This window comes from Homo sapiens, chromosome 1, assembly GCF_000001405.40.
Source record: "Homo sapiens chromosome 1, GRCh38.p14 Primary Assembly".
NCBI classification, from domain to species: Eukaryota; Metazoa; Chordata; class Mammalia; order Primates; family Hominidae; genus Homo; species Homo sapiens.
In genome coordinates this window covers 6,675,089-6,696,664 of record NC_000001.11, presented here as the reverse complement: position 1 = coordinate 6,696,664, position 21,576 = coordinate 6,675,089, and the positions used below count along the sequence as shown (strand labels likewise).

Sequence of the window (21,576 nt, the reverse complement as noted above, 5' to 3'; positions counted from 1 at the left end):
ACCAGTAAAAAGTTTACCCCAAGTCCCTGCATTTTCATTCCTTCTCTGGTACAGGGTAGATCATTATTTTCACAATTGTGTGTTGTTGGGGTTTCCTTAGCTGCAGGTTACAGCCACAGAGTGAGGCCCAACAGTTGAGTTTGAGCTGCAGATGGAAAGGAAGGGCTAGAAGAGTAGAGGAAGGTCCCCTGGTCACTGGCAAGATTGTCCTAGGGTCAAAGTCACCCACAAAGAAGGAGACAGCAGACCCTCCAATCAGGACCACTGACTCAGCCATCTGCAGAAATTGACATGTAAAAGGCTCAACTGTGCCAATTTGAGCGACTCAAATACCTAAAGCAGTGAGGTGGTGTGTGTTTACACATTTATTGCTTTCTTATCAAACTTCATGATGGGCAGTTAATTTTGTCTTAATAAAAAATAAAGATGGCTCTGAAAAGGTCAGTTCCTTCATTTTCCATCTACTACATTATGTTAAAGTTTGATATTTATAATGACTCCAGTTAAATGTGTGCCTCAGGCACATAGAATTAAGCCTCGGTTGTCCAAAAACAACTTATTCAGATGTCTGCATTCCATAGGGTGTTCTGTAAGCCAAGAGGCTGAGAAGCAAGAATTTCAGCCCATGCTGCCTGCCTCTTGTGTGACCTTCAACGAGTCATTTAACCTCAGCCTCTACTTACCTGCAGAATGGAGGCACCAGTACTTCTTAGTTAACAATGGGATAGAGGGAGGCCACTATGTAGGGCTTTGCAGCTGGAGTCCAGTATTCAAATCCCATTTTACTCTTCTGGAAGTTCTATGCTTCAACGCTAGTAATTTAACCTTTCTGTTTCTCAATTTCTTTTTTTTTTTTTGAGATGGAGTCTCACACTGTCACCCTGGCTGGAGTGCAATGGCGCAATCTCAGCTCACTGCAACCTCCACCTCCTAGGTTCATGCAATTCTCCTGCCTCAGCCTCCCAAGTAGCTGGGATTACAGGCACACACCAGTACACCCGGCTAATTTTTTTTTTTTTTTTTTTTTTTTTTTTTTTAGTAGAGATAGGGTTTCACTATGTTGGCCAGACTGGTCTCAAACTCCTGACGTCGTGATCCATCCGCCTCGGCCTCCCAAAGTGCTGGGATTACAGGCATGAGCCACTGCACCTGGCCATCAGTTTCTTTAATGTTAGAATGTAGGTAACAGGTAATAATGGCTTAAGCACTTACTGTAGGCCAGGATGACCTGTGTGGTATGTGCGTTGCTAGGTGCTGAGAATGTATATAAATTGCCTGTCATAAGTAGGTATTTAGTTAATATATATTGTTATTTCTTGGATTTTGATAAGTTTGAAGTTTTGCTTACTTTAAAAAAAGACATAAGGATTGGGGGGTGGCTCACACCTGTAATTCCAGCACCTTAGGAGGCTAAGGCAGGAGGATAACTTAAGTCCAGGAGTTTGAGACCAGCCTGGGTTGGCATAACGTAGCAAGACTCCATCTTTAATTAAAAAAAAAAATTTTTTTTTTTTTTTTTTTGAGAGAGTCTCGCTCTGTCACCCAGGCTGGAGCGCAGTGGCACAATCTCGGCTCATTGCAAGCTCTGCCATCTGGGTTCACGCCATTCTCCTGCCTCAGCCTCCCGAGTAGCCGGGACTACAGGCACCTGCCACCACGCCCAGCTGATTTTTTTTTTTTTTTTTTTTTTGATTCGGAGTCTCGCTTTGTTGCCCAGGCTGGAGTGCAGTGGTGCGATCTCGGCTTATTGCAAGCTCCGCCTCCCGGGTTCACGCCATTCTCCTGCCTCAGCCTCCTGAGTAGCTGGGGCTACAGGCCCCCACCACCATGCCTGGATAATTTTTTTTTTTTTTTTGTATTTTTAGTAGAGACGGGGTTTCACCGTGTTAGCCAGGATGGTCTCGATCTCCTGACCTTGTGATCCGCCCGCCTCAGCCTCCCAAAGTGCTGCGATTATAGGTGTGAGCCACCGCGCCCAGCCAAAAAAAATTTTTTTTAATTAGCTGGGCATGGTGGCATGAGCTGTAACCTGTAGTCCAGCCTAAGGTGGAGGTGCAGCCGAAAAGCAGGTCAGTTGTTTACCGCATGCAGAGTCCAGTTAACAAGAGTGAGGCGCATACAAAGCCAGTGAATTTACTCTGAAGTCAGCTTGGGGAAGGGGCACGATGTCCTGCTGTACCGCTTCACTTTTAGAGCAGAAAGCAGGCACTTTTATAAGGTATAGGAGGAAATGAGCAAGGGCAGGGGTCCCCCTGCTATCTGGGTACTTTATCTAACTGGCAATTGAGTTGGCATCTTCCTGGGCAGAAAGAAGTAAAAGTGGCCATGGGGACATGATTTGGTCTGCAAATCCACTGTCAAGAGATCCGTCTTGGAGCACGTAGTTAGCTGAACTTGCCCCATAGAAGATGTCTGGTGAGGGGGAGGGGAAAGGTTATATTTGCATTTCTAAAGGGCTAAGTAGGAAGCAGGGTACCGGGGAAAGGGGGAGAGGAGAAAATAATTAAACTATCTCTTAGAAAAAATGGGGCTGGGCATGGTAGCTCATGCCTGTGAATCCCAGCACTTTGGGAGGCTGAGGCCAGCGGATCACTTGAGGTCAGGAGTTCAAGACCCACCTGGCCAGCATGGTGAAACCCCATCTCTACTAAAAATACAAAACTTAGCCAGACTTGATGGCGGGCGCCTGTAATCCCAGCTACTCATAAGGCTGAAGCAGGAGAATCTCTGCTGGGAGGTGGAGGTTGCCGTGAGCAGAGATCGCACCACTGTGCTCCAGCCTGGGCAACAGAGCGAGACTCTGTCTCCAAAAAAAAAAAAAAAAAAAAAATGGGGGTACTTGGTTACAGGAGGATTGCTTGAACCTAGAAGTTTGGGGCTGCAGTGAGCTGCAGTCACACCACCACACTCTAGGCTGGGCGACAGAGCGAGACTTTGTCTATAAAAAGCGAGACTCCGTCTATAAAAATAATAATAAATAAAAGGCTGGGCGTGGTGGCTCATGCCTGTAATCCCAGCACTTTGGGAGGCTGAGGCGGGTGAATCACGAGGTCAGGAGTTCGAGATCAGCCTGGCCAACATGGTGAAACCCTGTCTCTACTAAAAATACAAAAACTAGCTGGGTGTGGTGGTGGGCGTCTGTAATCCCAGCTACTCGGGAGGCTGAGGCAAGAGAATTGGTTGAACCCGGGAGATGGAGTTTGCAGTGAAGCAAGATCGCACCACCACTGCACTCCAGCCTGAGCGACAGAGCAAGAATCCATCTAAACGATAATATAACAATAAATAAAAATGTGAAAGACATACATGTACATAAATAAATTTAAAAATGTGAAAGACATACTTGGTATGCTTCATCCTGGCTAAGGATGAACTTTGCTATCCACTTGTAATATTACTAAAAATCATAGTGCTAGAATGTATGCTAAGCATTAGTTTATGAAATTCCTGAGGTTGGGTGTGGTGGCTCACGCCTTACAGTCCCAACGCTTTGGGAGGCGGAGGCGGGCAGATCACCTGAGGTCAGGAGTTTGAGACCAGCCTTATTAACATGGCGAAACCCTGTCTGTACTAAAAATACGAAAAAAAAAAATTAGCCGGGTGTGGTGATGCTCGCCTGTAATCCCAGCTACTTGGGAGGTTGAGACAGGAGAATTGCTCAAACCCAGGAGGCGGAGGTTGCAGTGAGCCAAGATTGTGCCACTGGACTCCAGCCTGGGCAACAGAGCAAGACTCTGTCAAAGAAAAAAAAAGAGGCTGGGCGCAGTGGCTCATGCCTGTAATCCCAGCACTTTGGGAGGCTGAGGCGGGCAGATCACCTGAAGTCGGGAGTTTGAGACCAGCGTGACCAACATGGAGAAACCCCATCTCTACTAAAAATACAAAAATTAGCCAGGCGTGGTGGCAAATGCCTGTAATCTCAGCTACATGGGAGGCTGAGGCAGGAGATTCACTTGAACCCGGGAGGCAGAGGCTGCAGTGAGCCAAGATCGTGCCATTGCACTCCATCTTGGGCAACAAGAGCAAAACTCCATCTCAAAAAAAAAAAAAAAAAATTCCTGAAGCATTTTTTACTTTCTGTTCAAAACACTGAGTTTGTTCTTTTTAAAAGACAGTGATCTCTCTGAACTTGTGCTTCCTGGAAAGTTGACATGGGGATAGGGAGCTTTCCTGGAAGTTGGGGCTAAGTATGGGAGTAGGGTGCAGGCTCAAGGATAACATTTTTTGGGTGTTTGGGGTAAAGATAGGATAGTTGTGAGCCAAGCAGAGAGGAGGCAGAGCTGGGGGCAGGGGTGGGCCCAAGAGGGTGCCCGGGAAGTGGAGTTTAGAGAAGCTGCCTGTGTGCAGGGAGGGGGCTGTTGAGGATGCCCCACCACTTCCAATGTCATCTCATAATGTGATTGGCAAACGTGAGGTTACATTTCACAATGTGTTTCTTTAATGATCTATAAGCCAGTTATTTTCTGCTTTGGGCATTTCAAACAATTGCTTCTTGAAATGTTAATGCTCTAATTTTGCATTATCTACCAAAACACCTCTTTTATTTTCTTTCTTAAAGAGAATTCAATGGAAAACTTTTGTATTTGCTGTGAATTTAGTAATAAAACAATGGAAAACGGGACATGAGAGCAACATGCTTTGCTTGGCTGTAGAATTTTATTGTCTGCTTTTTATTAACCTTTCATTTTAATTTTACTTACTTACACCTTTGTTTAAGAAAGGATGTAAGACAACAGATGAAAAAATAAAATAGCATATATTTTTTAAAGGAGTCACACATTTCTTAAAAAGAAGACAATTGAGAACATTGCTGCATTATTACCACTGTTACAGCATATGCCTGGTACAGATTGCAGTCCCTGGAAGGAGCTTGCAGCTTGGAGTGGAACCTCCTTCGAGATGAAAATCTGACAGCTGGATTCCTGTTTGGCTCATGGACTGTTGGAACCACTTCTGCATGTTTTGAGTGTGCAGCCTACCCTCCCTAGTTGACAGGAGCCAGAAAATTCTTCAGCAGTAAAATGCCAAGCCAATAGAGATCAACCACAAGAAGTCTGCATGAGTAGGCAGGGTATAACGGATGAACACGAATGACAGAAGGTATAAGGTCAGGCTTTTAGGGAGAAATAAGCCGATTTCTTACTGTGAAGATAGGATCTGAGCCATCAATTTTGGTGCAACTCTGGAGCTTGTTTCTAGAGACTGGGGCCTTTTGATTTTCTATTAGTCTCAAGGGCAACAAATATATATATGAACATGACCAGGAAGAGTAATGAAAACCAAGTTGTACAATGGTAGCAGAAGATTTCCTGAGCCCTTGCAATGACCTCTGATTGGGAGTCAGGATTTTTGCACCTTGGGCCCATTTGTTCTTGAATTCTGTGATTGTAGCCGAGATGTGTGCTGCAAGACCTGATTCCTTCTCTGCCCCGTAAACCTTACAGGTGATGTGCTTCCTGCTTTTTTTTTTTTTTTTCAGTCTTTGGGATTCTGTTGTTACTAATTGTGTAATCTTTTTTTCAAATTTATATTGCCATCTTGGAGGTATTGTGTTTTGTAAGTTTTTTCCTTAACTCTGTGTTAAGTAGAACTCACTTAAGTTTCAAAAATTGTTCCTATTTGTAGAAACTTTTTAGAATTGTTTTATCTGTTTCTTTGTTCAGCTTTTCTGACTCATTTGTGATTTGATTATTTCTCTGCTAAGCTCTTTCCAAAGTGAAACCTAAAATGGCTGTAGGAGCCAAACTTCCAAAATCAGTGTAGGTCAGCCTGACCTCTGTCCTCAACAAAGATGTGATAGAATTCAGGGTTTTTGTTTGTTTGCACCATTCTCCTGCCTCAGCCTCCCGAGTAGCTGGGACTACAGGCGCCCGCCACCACGCCCAGCTAATTTTTTGTATTTTTGGTAGAGACGGGGTTTCACTCTGTTAGCCAGGATGGTCTCGATCTCCTGACCTCGTGATCCGCCCACCTCAGCCTCCCAAAGTGCTGGGATTACAGGCGTGAGCCACCACGCCCAGGCAATTCAGGGGTTTTAAGTGAAGGACAACTGAAATCACCTAGCCCACCCCTTGCGTGTTTAAGCATCAAGGAGCATTCATTGGTGATGATTTGAATGTCCTGGGACAGTGGTGGAGCTTCAAAAGGGGTCATTGTGAAGATAGAGAGCACAGCCGCAGGAGTCAGATCCAAGTTTGAGTTTCTAGCAGGTTTTGTGGGGGGCAAATTACCTAACCTGTCTGAGCCCGTTCATCCAGAAAATCCAGACAGTTTTACTGTCGTAGAGCTTTTGTGGGAATGAAGTGGGAGTGCATGGAAATGCTTGACATAGCAGTGGATATGCGACTGTCAAATGAATGCCGTGTATTTCTATTAGTGTCATGAGCATAGCCATTAATAAGGAAGGCTTTTATTGGTTACTTATATAATTTGGATGAATCGTTGATCTGGTATATATATATATTGTAAACGCCTCTTCCTTCTATGTTGCCTTTCACTTTCATGAACTAAGTTTGGTTTGAGTTAGGCTACACATTATTAGTTTCTAACAATCTTTCGGGTTAGGGGTCCATAACCAAATAAACTCCTCCTCCATCTTCAATAAGTCACTTGATCTTTCCGATCCTCGGGATTTTTATCTGTAAAATGGGAGTCTGATACCAACCTCAAGGCGTTTTGAGTATTAAAAGTATTAAGTGAGGAAATAGTGGAATTATTTTGTTAGCTGTAAATCTGTGTAAATGCATTTGTGACACCATTGACAAGCCTTTAAAGCTCTGTGATGCGTCTCGGTCCTTCCTTTTCACTTTGCCAGTTGCACATTCCCTGTCCTCCTTACATAGCCCTTTCTCCAGTTCAGTCCTCACCTCCTTGGATTTTTTTTTTTTTTTGACGGAGTTTCGCTCTTGTTGCCCAGGCTGGAGTACAATGGTGCAATCTCAGCTCACCACAACCTCCGCCTCCTGGGTTCAAGCAATTCTCCTGCCTCAGCCTCCTGAGTAGCATGCGCCACCATGCCTGGCTGTTTTTTTGTATCTTTACCAGAGACAGGGTTTCTCCATGTTGGTCAAGCTGGTCTGGAACTCCCAACCTCAGGTGATCTGCTCGCCTCAGCATCCCAAAGTGCTGGGATTACAGGCGTGAGCCCCCTTTTTAAGTCTCTTGCTTCAACCCTTCATCTCTATCTGCCTTCTGGACATCACGCCACCTAGGTGTTCAAATTCACCTCTGCCCCAAGCCTGACTACCTCCCAATTTCTCCCTAACCCATATTCGAGCCAAAACCCTGGAATGCTCATTGATTCTTTTCCATTTCATACTCAGTAACTGTCCCGTAGATCCGTGAATCCTCTAGGACTTCAGCAGACTCTGATCCTTCATTTCCTTTCAGCTTCCAGGCTGCTGGCCGCACAACCTCAGCCTTGAATTTCTGCTGCTGTTTCCTTTAGCTCTCTCTGGTTTTGTTTTTTGTTTGTTTGTTGTCTGTTTCAGTCAAGCTGTACCAAATTAATCTTAACAAATAATACTGGTGACATTATTTCTCTACCCAGAAACCTTGTATGACTTCCTCTTATTTCTTGGGTCAGGGTCAAACTCCTTGGCTCCATTTTTAAAGCCCTGTATAAATTAGATGTTTTGTGTATTTTCTGGCTACTTTGTGGTGATGTTCTGCCCTCTTCCACCGCAGAGGAAGCACCGTGTGGTCAGGGGCCGTGGCTGTCTGAGTCACCATTATATCCCCTGCACAGTGCCAGGCACATAATGGTACTTAACAAATGTTTGCTGAATACATTGAGCAGACAGATGGGTGTCCAAATTAGTTTCTTACCTACTTCCTGCCTTCTTATGCCCCTTTACGCCTGCTGGTTTGGTCAGTGTTCTGTGTTTCTGTCCCCAACACCGGCCTGTTATTATTTTCCCCTGAAATGCTGCAGCCCATCTTGGACACCCAAAGCAGATCAGAGTCCACCTTTGTGTTCTCATTGGGGTCTCACCACCTCCATGAAGTTTTCTTTGCATTCTGACTTCTGTGAACTTCTTTCTGCCTCATTAATGTTAGCATTCCTGTTTTATATTGTTCAGTTAAATCAATGTTTGCATGGAGTTTTTTTGGGGGGTGGGGAATAGGAAATAGATAGGGATCTATGTGTAATTTCTTTGAGCTACGGACCATATTATATTTCTTTTGTGCCCCTAGTGGTTTCTAAAGCCGGTTGACATTCAGTAAACTTACTGATTGAAGGGATAAGTATTTGCTAATGACATACTCACCTTGTCTACTGGTATTCTTGAGGAATACATTGCAATTTTAGCAATCAAATTCTAGAGGAACTTATTATTGGAAGGAATTTATTTGTTGTTAATTTGGTAAATCTAAGTCAGGTACAAGAGGAAGAAAGCAAATTCAAACATATGCCTTTATCCTCAGGCTCCAGAGTGAGTCAGGGCTTATGGAGACTCAGTCCAGGACTGAAGAGCATGCCAAAAGATGAAACAATGGCTTTTCCCTTTCGCTGGGCTTGTCCTTTTCATCTGGCAGATATTGATTATCTTCCTCTTATGTTTCTTATTGTGGTGGGAAAAGGTTACTTTATCACCTTTTGCACTAGCACCACTAATGACATTTGTAAAAGAAAACAAGTTTCAGATGGATCAGATATATTTTTTTGTATGGTATTTGGTTATTTTTTTGTTTTGTTTTGTTTTTGTCAATTAAATGGAGCTGCATTTGTACCGTAGATACAGGTTAGTCTCACGTTAAATCCTGTTCTACTTGCATTGTTCCTGTGGAGATCAGTCAGACAGAATGAGTTACTCCAGTCTACACAGTGCTTGATGTTGTTGTATGATTCCAAATACATCATTGGGGTTTATTTCTGTTTGACGATGAATCCCATATTTCCAGACTTTCCAAAGATATTCTACATGTGAATGAAAATGAGAGAAGGGGGGCGTTGAGCAGGAAAAATGCCATCAGGATATGGCGGAGCTGGGAATAAGAGGAACTGTGGCCGGGCACAGTGGCTCACGCGTGTAATCCTAGCACTTTGGGAGGCCGAGGTGGGCGGATCACGAGGTCAGGAGATTGAGACCATCCTGGCTAACACGGTGAAACCCCGTCTCTACTAACAAATACAAAAATTTAGCCGGGCATGGTGGCGGGCACCTGTAGTCCCAACTACTCAAGAGGCTGAGGCAGGAGAATGGCATGAACCCGGGAGGCGGAGCTTGCAGTGAGCCGAGATCATGCCACTGCACTCCAGCCTGGGCGACAGAGCGAGACTCTGTCTCAAAAAAAAAAAAAAAAAAAAGGGACTGTATTGTGTAAAGCCTCAGGCTATATGGTTGGAACCTTTACAAAATGAAATAGGGAATTTTTTTTTTTTTACCAAGTCCAGTTAAGTGGTTGCTTTTTAATGCCTGATAAGTAAGTGGCTTGGTCTCTTAGTATAATCAGTATCTACTAAATGACACCAAATAATATGTGACACCCTTTCTCTCCGTAGAACAGCTCTTACTCAGCACAAAGCACCCATGCTGTCTTGGTGTTAATTAGCTCTGAAATCTGCTTTTTCTTTTAAAGTGCGTAAGCACCAACTATCATAATAAACACTGCAGGTTTTTATGAGCTGATGCAGTTTCTTTCCATCAGATTATTGGGGAACATATGGACAGTAATGAATCTTCAATTGTGGTAATCAGGCAAACTTCCCAAAATCCAGTAGAATATAGTTTGTGGAGCCTTCATTGGTGAAATTTAGTAATACAGATACATCGCCTGGAAGTTCGAGTTTGAAAATACAGGCTAAAGCAACAAAAAACCTGGTGGCTTTAATATTCCCAAAGTGAATATAAATATGAGGTGTTATTAAGTTGTTATTTGCATGCTCTATTCAGTCTTCAAAGTATCAAATTAAATATCATCATCATGGTAGGTATAAGTACCGTTCACCCAATGTGGTTGGTTCTTTGCTTGCCCAGCACATGGTAGGACTGCACTTGCTAGTTAGTGTCCTTGTGGTCAAGTGAGACCTTGGGACTAGTTCTAGCTGGTGATGTCAGTGGAAGTGAGGTGTGTCACTTCTAGGTCCAAGCATTGAAATGCCAGTGTGAGCCAGGGAGCCTGCTGTCCCCTCTGCCTTGGTGATTGGCACAGGATGACTGCTGTGTCATCCTGGGACCTGAAGACATTGCCAAACTGTACTAGCTGGCCTCAGATGGACATGTAAAGTGAGAGAGAAATAAGCCATTGAAATTTTTGGATTGTTTGTTACTGCAGTATCATCTAGCCCAGCAGTTATCAAGCTTTTTGGTGTTAGGATTCCTTTACATTCTTAAGTTATTCCTTACATTCTTAAGTTATTTGGTGTTAGGATTCCTTTACATTCTTAAGTTATTACATTCTTAAGTTATTCTTAAGTTATTCCTTTACATTCTTAATGTTATCCTTTACATTCTTAAGTTATTAAGTTATTGAGGATCCCAAAGAGCTTTTGTTTATGTGAATTATAGCTATCGATATTTAGTCAGAAATTAAAACTGAGTAATTGCTAAAATATTGTTGTAAAATAAGACACAAATACAAATGTATTTCAGTAGAAGCACAAGGAAAACGTTTAAGGATTTAAAATGACTGTATTGGACAATAATGAGGTTATAGATACACAGACATCACCGCAAATAGAACCAACGATAGCACAGTCAAGGAACTGAGAGCTAATTGAGTTAATCTCAAAACTCTTGTATTTATTTAAACTCTTGTATTTATACCAACCTTAGAAATTTCTAGAAAACATAAGACATGTACACACATTCCATTAAACATCAGAACAATGATATTGTAACTAAAAGTTCTCTGAAAGATAATTTGGAAAAAAGAGATTTTACTCCAATGAATACTTTGCAAACCGGGGAAACCCAGCCTCCAGTATAAAACAAAGGTGGGTTCCAGAGAACAAAAGGAAAACTCAGGTTTTATAGCCAAAGTTCCTGCCTGGGTTCCCAGTCAGGTCCATTTATGTAAATGAAGGATAGAAACTTGCTTAGTTCTGATTGGTTGATACAGGTGAGTCCTGATTGGCTGGGGCAGAGGAGCTCGGATTGATTGAGGTGGGTGAGCTCCAAAGATAAAAAGATGTGGATTTTGGAAAACTCTGTGCGACCTCTAGTCAGCAAAAGGCCACCTGACTATTTTAAATTTAGGTATGTCAGGATCCATCTTGAAGGATTGCCTCTTTTAGGCTCACGTTTGTTCCCAAGATCATCACACATCCTGTAACCTTAAGATTCCACTGTACACTGAAGAAAGGATGAGAGTGAAAAAGGCAAATAACAGCTTCGTGTTATTAGAAAAATAGTTTTGACTTTGTGGATCCCTGAAGGGGTCTCAGAGATTCCTGGGATGCCCCAGACCACACTTTGAGAACCACTGATCTAGCCTAGCCTAACCAAATGCAATCGTGGTACAGACATATTATCCAGACATGTTTTAGCTTATTTTGCCTTAGCCTCCTGAGGTGCTGGAAGTACACCTGGATAATTTTTTTAAATTTTTTTGTAGAGTCAGGATCTCGCTATGTTGCTCAAACTGGTCTTGAACTCCTGGCCTCAAGCGATCCTCCCACCTTGGGATACCAAAGTGCTGGGATTACTGTACTGGTGTGAGCCATTGCACCCAGCCCTGTTATTGACTTCTGACTTCATCCTCTTGTGGTAGGAGAAGATATTTTGTATGATGTCAGTCTTTAAAGTCTATTGGGACTTAATTTGGGGCCTAACATATAGTCTATCCAGAAAATATAACCAGGTGATTGAGATGATGAAAGATTATAGACTTAAAGTATGATACATTTCTTAATTTTTGTTACAGAATTTTAGGATAAGAATGTACCTTTAGGTGTCATTCTTAATGATAATCTCATTGCATTTTGAAATAACAGTATTTCTGTAAGAGTGAAAGAGGTTCTCATTTATGAAATATCGAACCAGTGACCTTAGCTATTCAGTTTTAATGAAAGGACCAATCTAACCTTTTATTGAATGTGATATTTATTAAAAATGAAACATCTTATTTACATTACTTAATAGCATATTAAGCCATTTATTAATAAGATTAAAGAATGTCTTGCAGAGTAGATATTCTACTCTCTTGTCATCTAGTTTAATTTTAATAACCAGGAAATAGCAGTCTAACTGAGAGTCAGTCAATCTGTCTAATCCAGTACTTGTAACTTTATGAGACACAAAAAAGGACAATTAAAATTTGCAGAAAGAAAATGATTTGTGACTGGGTGCAGTGGCTCACGCCTGTAATCCCAGCACTTTGGGAGGCCGAGGCGGGCGGATCACCTGAGGTCAGGAGTTCAAGACCAGCCTGGCCAACACGATGAAATCCCATCTCTATTAAAAATTCAAACAATTAGCTGGGCATGGTGGCGTGCGCCTGTAGTCCCAGCTACTTGGGAGGCTGAGGCAGGACAATTACTTGAACCCAGGAGGCAGAGGCTGCAGTGAGCTGAGATCACAGCACTGCACTCCAGCCTGGGTGGCAGAGTGAAACTCCATCTCAAAAAAAAAAAAAAAGAAAATGATTTGTAATGGCCGTGTGGGAAAAAAAATAAGTCCCTTTTACATCATCACATAAGTAAACCTACCTGGAAAAGATTATTTTCCCATGATTTATGTTTGAAACACCAGGGTTTGGTATAGGTGGTATATTGATAAGTGTAGCAAGAAATGCATTTAAAGTTGGGAGGAAAACAAAACACTACAGCAAGAAGAAAAAGGAGAAAATGCAGAGATGGAAATATGGAGGCCCACCTCTTCTAGAGAACCTTGTATTTTTATAGAAATAGAATATACATGCAGAAAAGTGGTCATCTCCTGAGTATACAGCACAATGAATTTTCACAAGCAGGACTGCTTCATGAATGAATGTTTCCGTTATCCATGCACCAGGGCGGTGCCCTCTGAATTGTTCCAGTTTCAGTACTCCTGTTGCCAAAAAGATACCACAACTGAATTGTGATGATGGTAATAACAAAAGTGGTTATGGTCCTAGTATGAGCTGGACATTGTTAGGCACTCATGCTTGTATTATCTCAATTACGCCTCACAAAGACTCAGAAAGAAGCACTATTGTCCACAGTTTGCAGGTGATGAAACAGAAAGGGGCTTAAAGGAGCTATAATTCCTAAGTTTTTGCTGTGTGTTGGGCACTGTGTGAAGCACTTCATAGTCTCTGTCTGGTTTCATTCTCACACTGTCCTTGCAAGGGTTGTCATCCCCTTTTATGGAGGAGAAGACTAAATGCCAGAAATCTCACTTGCCATGGTCACAAAGCTTGGAAGTGACAGATCCTGCATCCAAACATGGGCCGTTGACTGCCACACCTGCATTCTCTACTAGCAGAATGGAAGGCTGTGTTGCCCCAGAGCGAACCACATGAGCATGGCTGGAAGACAGGCAGCCAGCCCCTGTTTGGCAGTGCCGTCCCTGAAGTCTGCACCAAAGGGAAGATGGGAGAAAGAGATTTGCCGCGGAGTGGGGTCTCACCAATTCTCAGAGGCCAGGAGCTGCTCATTCAGCAAGATCCTTGACCCTATTCTGACAGAGTAGTTCATGGAACCTTCAAGGAGCTCCTACTTTAAAATGGCATGCAGCAGAGTTGCCTCTCTCCAAACCAGCGGGAAGCTCTCTGTGGCCTGCTTTAAAGGGCAAGCTGAATGGCTTGGGTCTAGCTAGTTTTTTTTCCCCCTCTGTCACCCAGGCTGGAGTGCAGTGGTGCAGTCATAGCTCACTGCAACCTCAGCCTCCCCAGGCTTAGGTGATCCTCCCACCTCAGCCTTCCAGGTAGGACCACAGGCAAGCGCCTCCACGCCCAGGTAATTTTTGTATTTTGGGTAGATATGGGGTTTCGCCATGTTACCCAGTCTAGTCTTGAACCTGTGGGCTCAAGCAATCTGCCCACCTCTGCCTCCCAAAGTGCTAGGTCTACACGTGTCAACCATTGCGTCCAGCCTTGTTTCTTTTCTGAATAGCAGAATCGAGTAAAGTTAGAGCCAGAAGGCTCCTGGAGGTCACCCACGCCATCACCTACTCCTCAGATGAAGCTGGCCTGAGCCTGGTCTAGGGCTGAGGAGATGGGCTTGAGGGAGCAGAACCCGGGCCCCAGCACCGCTGCCCCCTCAGGCATGTGGGACCGATGGGCCAATGTCCTCTGCACGTCTTTCCAGTCACGTTTATTGTCTTCCTCTTGGAGTCCTTCAGAATTCCTTGTTTAGAACCCCTGATAAACTCGCACAAATACCCTGGCTTTCTAGCATCTGAATAACTTAATCCTGTAGAAAATATTTAGATTCTGGGCCAAAAATTATTACTAAAGTACAGTAAAATTGTATTTTTTTTGCTGGTGAAGAAGCTCATTAGTCCTGGGACTGAAAGATGTTGAAAAATTGTGGAAGTAACAGAGAATACAGTCATCTTTTTTTTTTTTTTTTTTTTGTAATTATGGTCCCAGGACTAACTTATGTCTCTGTGACCTCTTTCTTTGAGGATCTGTGTTCCAGGCCCTCATCCTAGAGGACTGTCAATCCTCACATCGCCTCCTGGGACCTGGGCCTATTCTTCTGTTCAGTTGGCAGATTTTTGGGGCCCCTCTAGCATGTCAGTGACCCAGAAATGTGCTTCAGTTGTCAAAATGGTGGGGATACGTCCTCAAATCAAATGTTCTTTAACTGATATACCAAAGGGTAGAACTGCCCATCCAGTACCACCCCTGATAGGCCAAAATAGCCTCTAGAATCAAACATAACACTTCCCAAAAGCAGACCTGCGGGGCCAGCCACATAGCCCGCTCAGTGTCCCAAGGCCTCTGAGGGGCCCTGTCTAGAGACCCTCTTGGTGGCTGTGAGGCAGGCCACAGTGAATGTGGGTTTGCCTCATTGGCACCCGCCCCCCCCACTGTGGTTAAAGCACACCAGAGCCCGTCTGCCTTGTGCCACACCTTCAGATGTCCTGCGTAGGAGAATTGGAGAGTTGATGCCTTTTGGTTTTTAGGGGGTCTGGGGGTTTTGGGGAGGGTTGGTTACTACAGGTTAGGGAAGCATTTCTGCCACTGAATGTGCTGCCTTCTGGAATTAGAGGTTGCATTCGAGTGCACGTGGGCCTTACAAGTTTGTCTTTGAATTTCAAGGATTCATGTTCGTTATGTCATTAAATTGATGTCATTTCTGTCTAATGGTATATAGCTTTTCTTTGCCTGAACCTGTTCTGTTTAGAGTGCCTTGGCATGATTTACTTCAAATAAGTTAAAGAGTTAGCACGTCTCTGTGACATTTTTGTTTCAGCTCAGAGCACACTGAGCCATTCCAGAGACCCAAACGTTCATTCATTGGATAGCAGCACTTCCCAGCAAAACCCAGTCCCTATTGATGTATGTAATTGATCACTTTATTAACTGGCAAAAAGAAGCCTTGTTGAGGTGATAAACCGAACTTCATTACATCCTGTATGTCGAGAGCAAACACATTGGGACGTGGCTGATGGGTTCCCATTTCAAGGCTGATTCTGATGATGATAATGTTTAAGTAGCATTGATTGTTCTCTAATTGAATTTTTCTTTCTTTAGGCCTCTTCTGAAGAGCTGAAAGCTGCCTACCGGAGGCTCTGTATGCTCTACCATCCAGACAAGCACAGAGACCCAGAGCTCAAGTCACAGGCGGAACGACTGTTTAACCTTGTTCACCAGGCTTATGAAGGTCAGTGGAGGGCCGGACTTTGTAGAAACATCCTGGTAACAGATATTCGATTTTTAGGAGGTGCGATTTGTAGAGGATAGAAAAAGAGAGTCCTTAGAGGTATATAAAACAGGTGGTTAGTTTAGTACTTTTCACTGACAGGGTCCTTTGAAAGAATAGTATTTTGCTTTGGAAATCAATACGTGTCCAGTAAGTAGAAAATGAGAGACCGGGCGAGGTAATAGACAGAGTCTCAATTGCAAGGGAATACTCAAGTTTTAAATCGTTTACCAGTTTTCTTCTAAAGGGAACTCTTATAGGTAAAAGGCTGATCGTTACAGGGAAGGTTTCTTTGTTCTCTTTTTTGTTAGAAGATACAAGGACATTTTTTCATCCAAAAGTGATTTTATTGGTTCTGAAGCAGTTATCGGTTGTAATAAAAGAAAGAAAATGATGTTAAGAAGGCTTATAGGAAATAGAACCAAGTGATTCACATTTTTATACTTATGTCTTATGTATGTCAGAAAGAACATTCTGTGATATATTTGTTTATAAAATATTAAAGTCACTACCAGATACAGAGCTTCTGTCTGGGATGGCAAAAAGTTCTGGAAATAGAGAGTGATGATGGTTACACAACATTGTAAATGTACTTCATGCTATTGAATTGTATACTTTAAAATGGTTAAAATGGTAAATATTATATGTATATTTTACCACCATTTTTAAAATTTAAATTAAAAAAAATGTTAAATCACTGTTATATACATCAACTACAATAAGTTATTTGTTCCAGAACCATCTGGTGATTTGCTCCTTAGACCAAAAATTAGATAATATGTTTCTTTATAAAATCATAAAGTCATCTCACTGTATACATAATAGCTTGTAGTGTTTTTCACTTTATAGTTTTACCAAAAAGTTAGATTTTAATGGCCAGTGAAAATCAGGCTGCAGTGTGTGATAAATGTGTACAGTCGGTGTAGTGTCATTACCAAATTTAACTGTATTCAGATCATTTGCATGGCGGTTGTGAAGAGTAGCCTGTTCTTTTTATTGTATTCTGTTATCTAAATGGGTGCATTAATTTTACTGTTGTCTAAATTAGCCACATAGTTTGCTTGTATTGTGTTGGAGACCTGGGGAAGAGTTAAAGAAAAACCCTACCAGTGCTAGTGAAAGTGCCACAACAGCAGACCTGGCCTCATGTTTAGCTTAAAGGGAGACTCAGGTAAAATAGTGAATGAATAATTCCTTATTAAATGCTGGAGAGGAACACAAGTTTGGCTCCTGTGTTTTCCAGGGGCCAGCATTTCTTCCTTTCCCGTTAGATTTGATTATGCATAGTATCATTTATGTGGTTTTTAAATTAGGCCTACAAATATATGGGAACTGTCAGGGGAGAAGAGACCCAAAGGTCTTGGCAGAAATTGGTGAAGCAGAGGGGGAAGAGAACAACCATTGGCCTTGCTGACATTTGAGTTCAGTTGGGATATCGTTCAGTTGGGATATCGTTTGAACAGCCCTCACCGTTAGCTGAGAAATCCTTTTCTGATGTATTTTGGGTGATGTGGCCAACAACATGATAAGAGATGTTTTTGTCTTTTAAAATTATTTACAAATAGAGAGGAGAAGTGCACAAAAGAAATGTAGCCTGTCTTTGGAGTTAACAGAACTCTATAGAGTAAATAACAAATCAGCTTTTTCTAGTATCTGAGCCTGTTTCTACTTTTATAGCAAGCTTCTTTAGAAACTGGAACCCACTCTTTCAAGTCAGTGTACTTTTATACACCGTGGCAGAAATTTACCAAATTATCTTAAAAACAACGTTCATGTCCTTTCCCAATGCAGGAGCCCGTGCCACTTCCTGCATGGTGCACCTTGTACACCTTGTAGCTGTACCTTCCAATCAAGAGTAACTTGGACACTGGAAAATCTGACTTTTCTCATTTGTAGCCGCCTTTAAACATATCCTACATTAGCTGGGTGCAGTGGCTCACACCTGTAATCCCAACACTTTGCAAGGCCAAGGCAAGAGAATCATTTAAGGCCAGGAATTCGAGATCAGCCTAGGCAACATAGTGAGACCCCATCTCTACAAAAAATAAATTAGCTGGGCATGGTGGCACACACCTGTAATCCCAGCTGCTTGGGAAGCTAGAGCAGGAGGATTAGTTAAGCCCAGGAATTCAAGGCTGCAGTGAGCTATGATCTTACCATTGCACTCCAGCCAGGACAACAGAGAAGGACCCTGTCAGTCAATAAGTCAATAAACAAATCCTAGGTTGAATCGAAAAAGCAGTTGGGAGGAAAGATGTGTAGAAAATGAAAGGGGTCTCTAGGAAGATTGTGATCAGACAGGGAGAACAGGAGATGGGCTTACCTAATGATGTCAGTATTCTCAGGAAGGACTGAAGGTGAATTTTGTATTTTATAAACATGTTTAATTTTTAATTTGCAGTGCTTAGTGACCCCCAAACCAGGGCCATCTATGATATATATGGGAAGAGAGGACTGGAAATGGAAGGATGGGAGGTAAGAGAAACTGTGCGTCTGGTGTTCCAGAAAAGTCATTAAACAGTTACAGAACATCTCCCCAAAACCCTGCAATCTGTAATATTGTCTTTGGGAATATTTGAAACCATTAGAGCCCCCTTCCTTGCCCTGTATTTTTGTTTTAGAGGTTGAGTTTTGGACTTGGCTTTGCCACTTTGTAACTCTGAACTTGGGCCAGCCACTCATCTGACTTGTCCTTCGTTCCCTAACCTGTCAAGTAAAACGGAAGAGGGATGGACCGAACCAGTAATTTTTAACCCAGGTGTGGGGCGGGAGCAAGCGGAGCAGGGGGTTGATGGGAGACGATTTCTTCAAGGGTGCAGTTCTGTCTCCATATACACTCCCTTCCACCCTCCACAGTTCTGTGCCTCTCTCTCCACCTCAGTTCTGAATAATTGCTGTGAGGAAATATTTCAGATGGGAGTATGTTATGCACGTGAGCAAAATGGAAGCAGAGTTGCTGGGGTTGCATTGCCTGTAATGACCCTTTCAATTCTCATGTATTATAATATTCAAGCTTTGTCAAATGTGATGAGTGAAACAAAATATATAGCAAATGTGTCGCCCTGGGCAGCCATGCTGTGGGAGAGCAGTCACTAAAATCCAGACAATTTGTTTGCTTTCACACTGCCACTGACTAGCAGTAGAGTCTTGGGCAAGTCATTGGGCTACTAGTGCTTCCATGTTACTATCTGAAAAATGAATATGAAGATTAGTTGTGAAACCCTTAAGTTGCTACAGGGATATATAGGTATCATTAAAGAAACTTTGTTCTGACCCAGGCAAAGTGGCTCACACCTGTAATCCTAACACTCTGGGGAGCCAGGCTGGGAGGATCACATGAGGCCAGGAGTTCGAGACCAGCCTGAGAAACATAGCAAGACCCTGTCTCTACAAAACATTTTTTTAAAAATTAGTCGGGCTTGGTGGCGCACACCTGTATTCCCAGCTATTCAGGAGGCTGAGATGGGAGAATCACTTGAGCACAGGAGGTTGAGGCTGCAGTGAGCTATGATCACGCCACTACACTCTAACGTGGGCAACAGAGCAAGACCCTGTCTCACAAAAAAAAGAAAGAAACTTGGTTCTGATGCCCAATAAATTTTGCTAGTCTGTTTAATAACATTGAATTGACCCTCGTTGAGTTATATTTTCACCATCATGTAAGATTACCCTTGAAGTTCCTTCGTTTTTTTTGTTTTTTTTTTTTTTTTGAGACCAAGTTTTGCTCTTGTTGCCCAGGCTGGAGTGCAGTGGCGCAATCTTGGCTCACTGCAACAAGTGATTCTCCTGCCTCAGCCTTCCTGAGTAGCTGGGATTACAAGGCATGCGCCACTACACCCAGCTAATTTTGTATTTGTAGTAGAGACAGGGTTTCTCCATGTTGGTCAGGCTGGTCTCGAACTCCTGACCTCAGACGATCCACCCACCTCGGCCTCCCAAAGTGCTGGGATTACAGGCATGAGCCACCACACCTGGCCAAAGTTCATTCAATGTTTAGTCTCAAGCATGCGTGCCTGTCTCTTCCAGTTCTGGCATCAAAGCCTTGTAAAGGCCTTCAGATGAGGAGTGGAAGAAAAGCAAAAGAGGATCCTATTTCCTTTCCTGCCTTTCCACTACTGCTTCATATTGGTGGCTCATGGGCCATATTCCACTAATAGCCTTTTTTGGTGTGTGTGTGTGTTTGTGAGAGAGAGTGCGCGCGTGCTCTGTCGCCCAGGCTGCAGTGTGTTGGTGCCATCATGGCTCACTGCACCCTCGACCTCCCAGGCTCAAGTGAGTCTCCTACCTCAGCCTCCCAAGTAGCTGCGACTACAGGCACACACCACCATGCCTAGCTAATTTTTAAATTTTTTGTAGAGATGGGGTCTTTCTATGTTGCCCAGGCTGGTCTCAAACTCCTAGCCTGAAGCTACCCTCCCCCCTCAGCCTCCCAAAGCGCCGGGATTACAGGTGTGAGCCACCGCACCCAGCCTGTTGCCATTTTTTGATTGCCTCACACAGTGAATTCTAGTTGCTAACATTTCAACCCTGGGAGGTTCTGCATGATAATTCAGTCTTCTGTCTTTTCTTGAAACATCTGAAGATCTGGTAACAGTGGATCTGAGGAGCCCTTGCCCTTCAGATGGGGCTGGGCTGTCCAATTTGTCCCAGTCCCCACCACTCCCCCTTGCGTTATGTCTGGCTCTTCTCATCTGCATGTCCTCCTGGCTCCAGTGGGCAGTTGGTATTTGGCCTCTGGCTTGATGGGAATAGCAGTGCTTCCTGTCACATTGGTTCATTGCAGCTAGGTATTAAGCCAAATAACTTAGCATTTTCTCATCCAAAAAGGAAAGTAGAATTCTGTTGTATTTATTCAATTTCCCCGTCACTCTTTATACACTCCTTAAAGCTTCTTTGTTTTTTTAAGATGTGGGTTGGCTACAATTTTTCAAGTCAGCAATTGGAGTCACTGAAAAGCTGTAGGACCCCATTACATATTCCCTCTTCAAAGACTAGGTTTTTAGTCCCCAGCAGCATTATCCCAATCAGTGGAGCACTGGGGTCTGCTGGTAGAATATTGTATGGCTTCCTCTCATCAGACCAGATTATCTTCCCATTAGAAACAAAGCAAATCCACACGCAAAATGGTGGTTATACAAATATATAGGGCTGGGTGCAGTGGCTCACACCTGTAATTCCAGCAGTTTCAAAGGCTGACACAGGAGAATCACTTGAGCTCAGGAGTTCGAGACCAGCTGGAGCAACACAGTGAGATCGCATCTCTACAAGCGATAAAAAATGAAAAAATTAACCAGGCATGGTGGTGAGTGCCTGTAATCCTACTTCTTGGGAGGCTGAGGTGGGAGGATCGCTTGAGCCTAAGGAGGTCGAGGTTTCAGTGAGCCATGATCACACCACTGCACTCCAGCCTGAGTGACAGTGAGACTGTGTCTCAAAAAATAAAAAATGAAATAAATAAATGAAAATAAAAATAAGTGCACAGTCGTGGGTGGCAAGTGGTTAAACATTATTTTCGTATTTTTTTAGTAAACTAAGGAAGTCAGGTTCTCATAGATCAGAATTGGCTTTTTTTTTTTTTTCATGTGGATACTAAGCTTTTGCTGCAAGATAAAAATGCTTTCAAAGAAAACTAAATGAAGACACCTCCCCAGATATTTACTCGGATATGTATTAGTGCTTAACATCCAATAGGAAAATTGAGCCCATTATTCATAATACACAGAAAGTCTCATTGAACTCAAGCACATTCTATGAAGCTGGCATCAACATTCCTTCAAGGA

The 21,576-nt window shown here is 43.0% G+C and overlaps 1 protein-coding gene across 2 annotated transcripts in view, besides 1 other annotated feature; it reads left to right on the top strand.

The window, feature by feature from the left end:
- Positions 1–21,576, top strand: part of DNAJC11 (DnaJ heat shock protein family (Hsp40) member C11) — a 67,647-nt gene that overhangs the window by 5,152 nt on the left and 40,919 nt on the right. Inside the window, exons 2-3 of one of the 2 annotated variants that reach the window (NM_018198.4) lie at positions 15,628–15,757; positions 18,198–18,271. In NM_018198.4, coding sequence (NP_060668.2) covers positions 15,628–15,757; positions 18,198–18,271 — 204 coding nt within the window. Of the gene's footprint in view, positions 1–15,627; positions 15,758–18,197; positions 18,272–21,576 lie in introns of those variants that run through there. The other variant, XM_047424842.1, reaches the window with a different exon arrangement.
- Positions 1,922–2,216: a silencer, noted in NCBI's record as "tiled region #8512; K562 Repressive non-DNase unmatched - State 17:Gen3'". NCBI's record gives its function as "represses a minimal TATA promoter and a strong SV40 promoter by Sharpr-MPRA in K562 cells {active_cell/tissue: K562}" and the evidence as "EXISTENCE:reporter gene assay evidence [ECO:0000049][PMID:27701403]".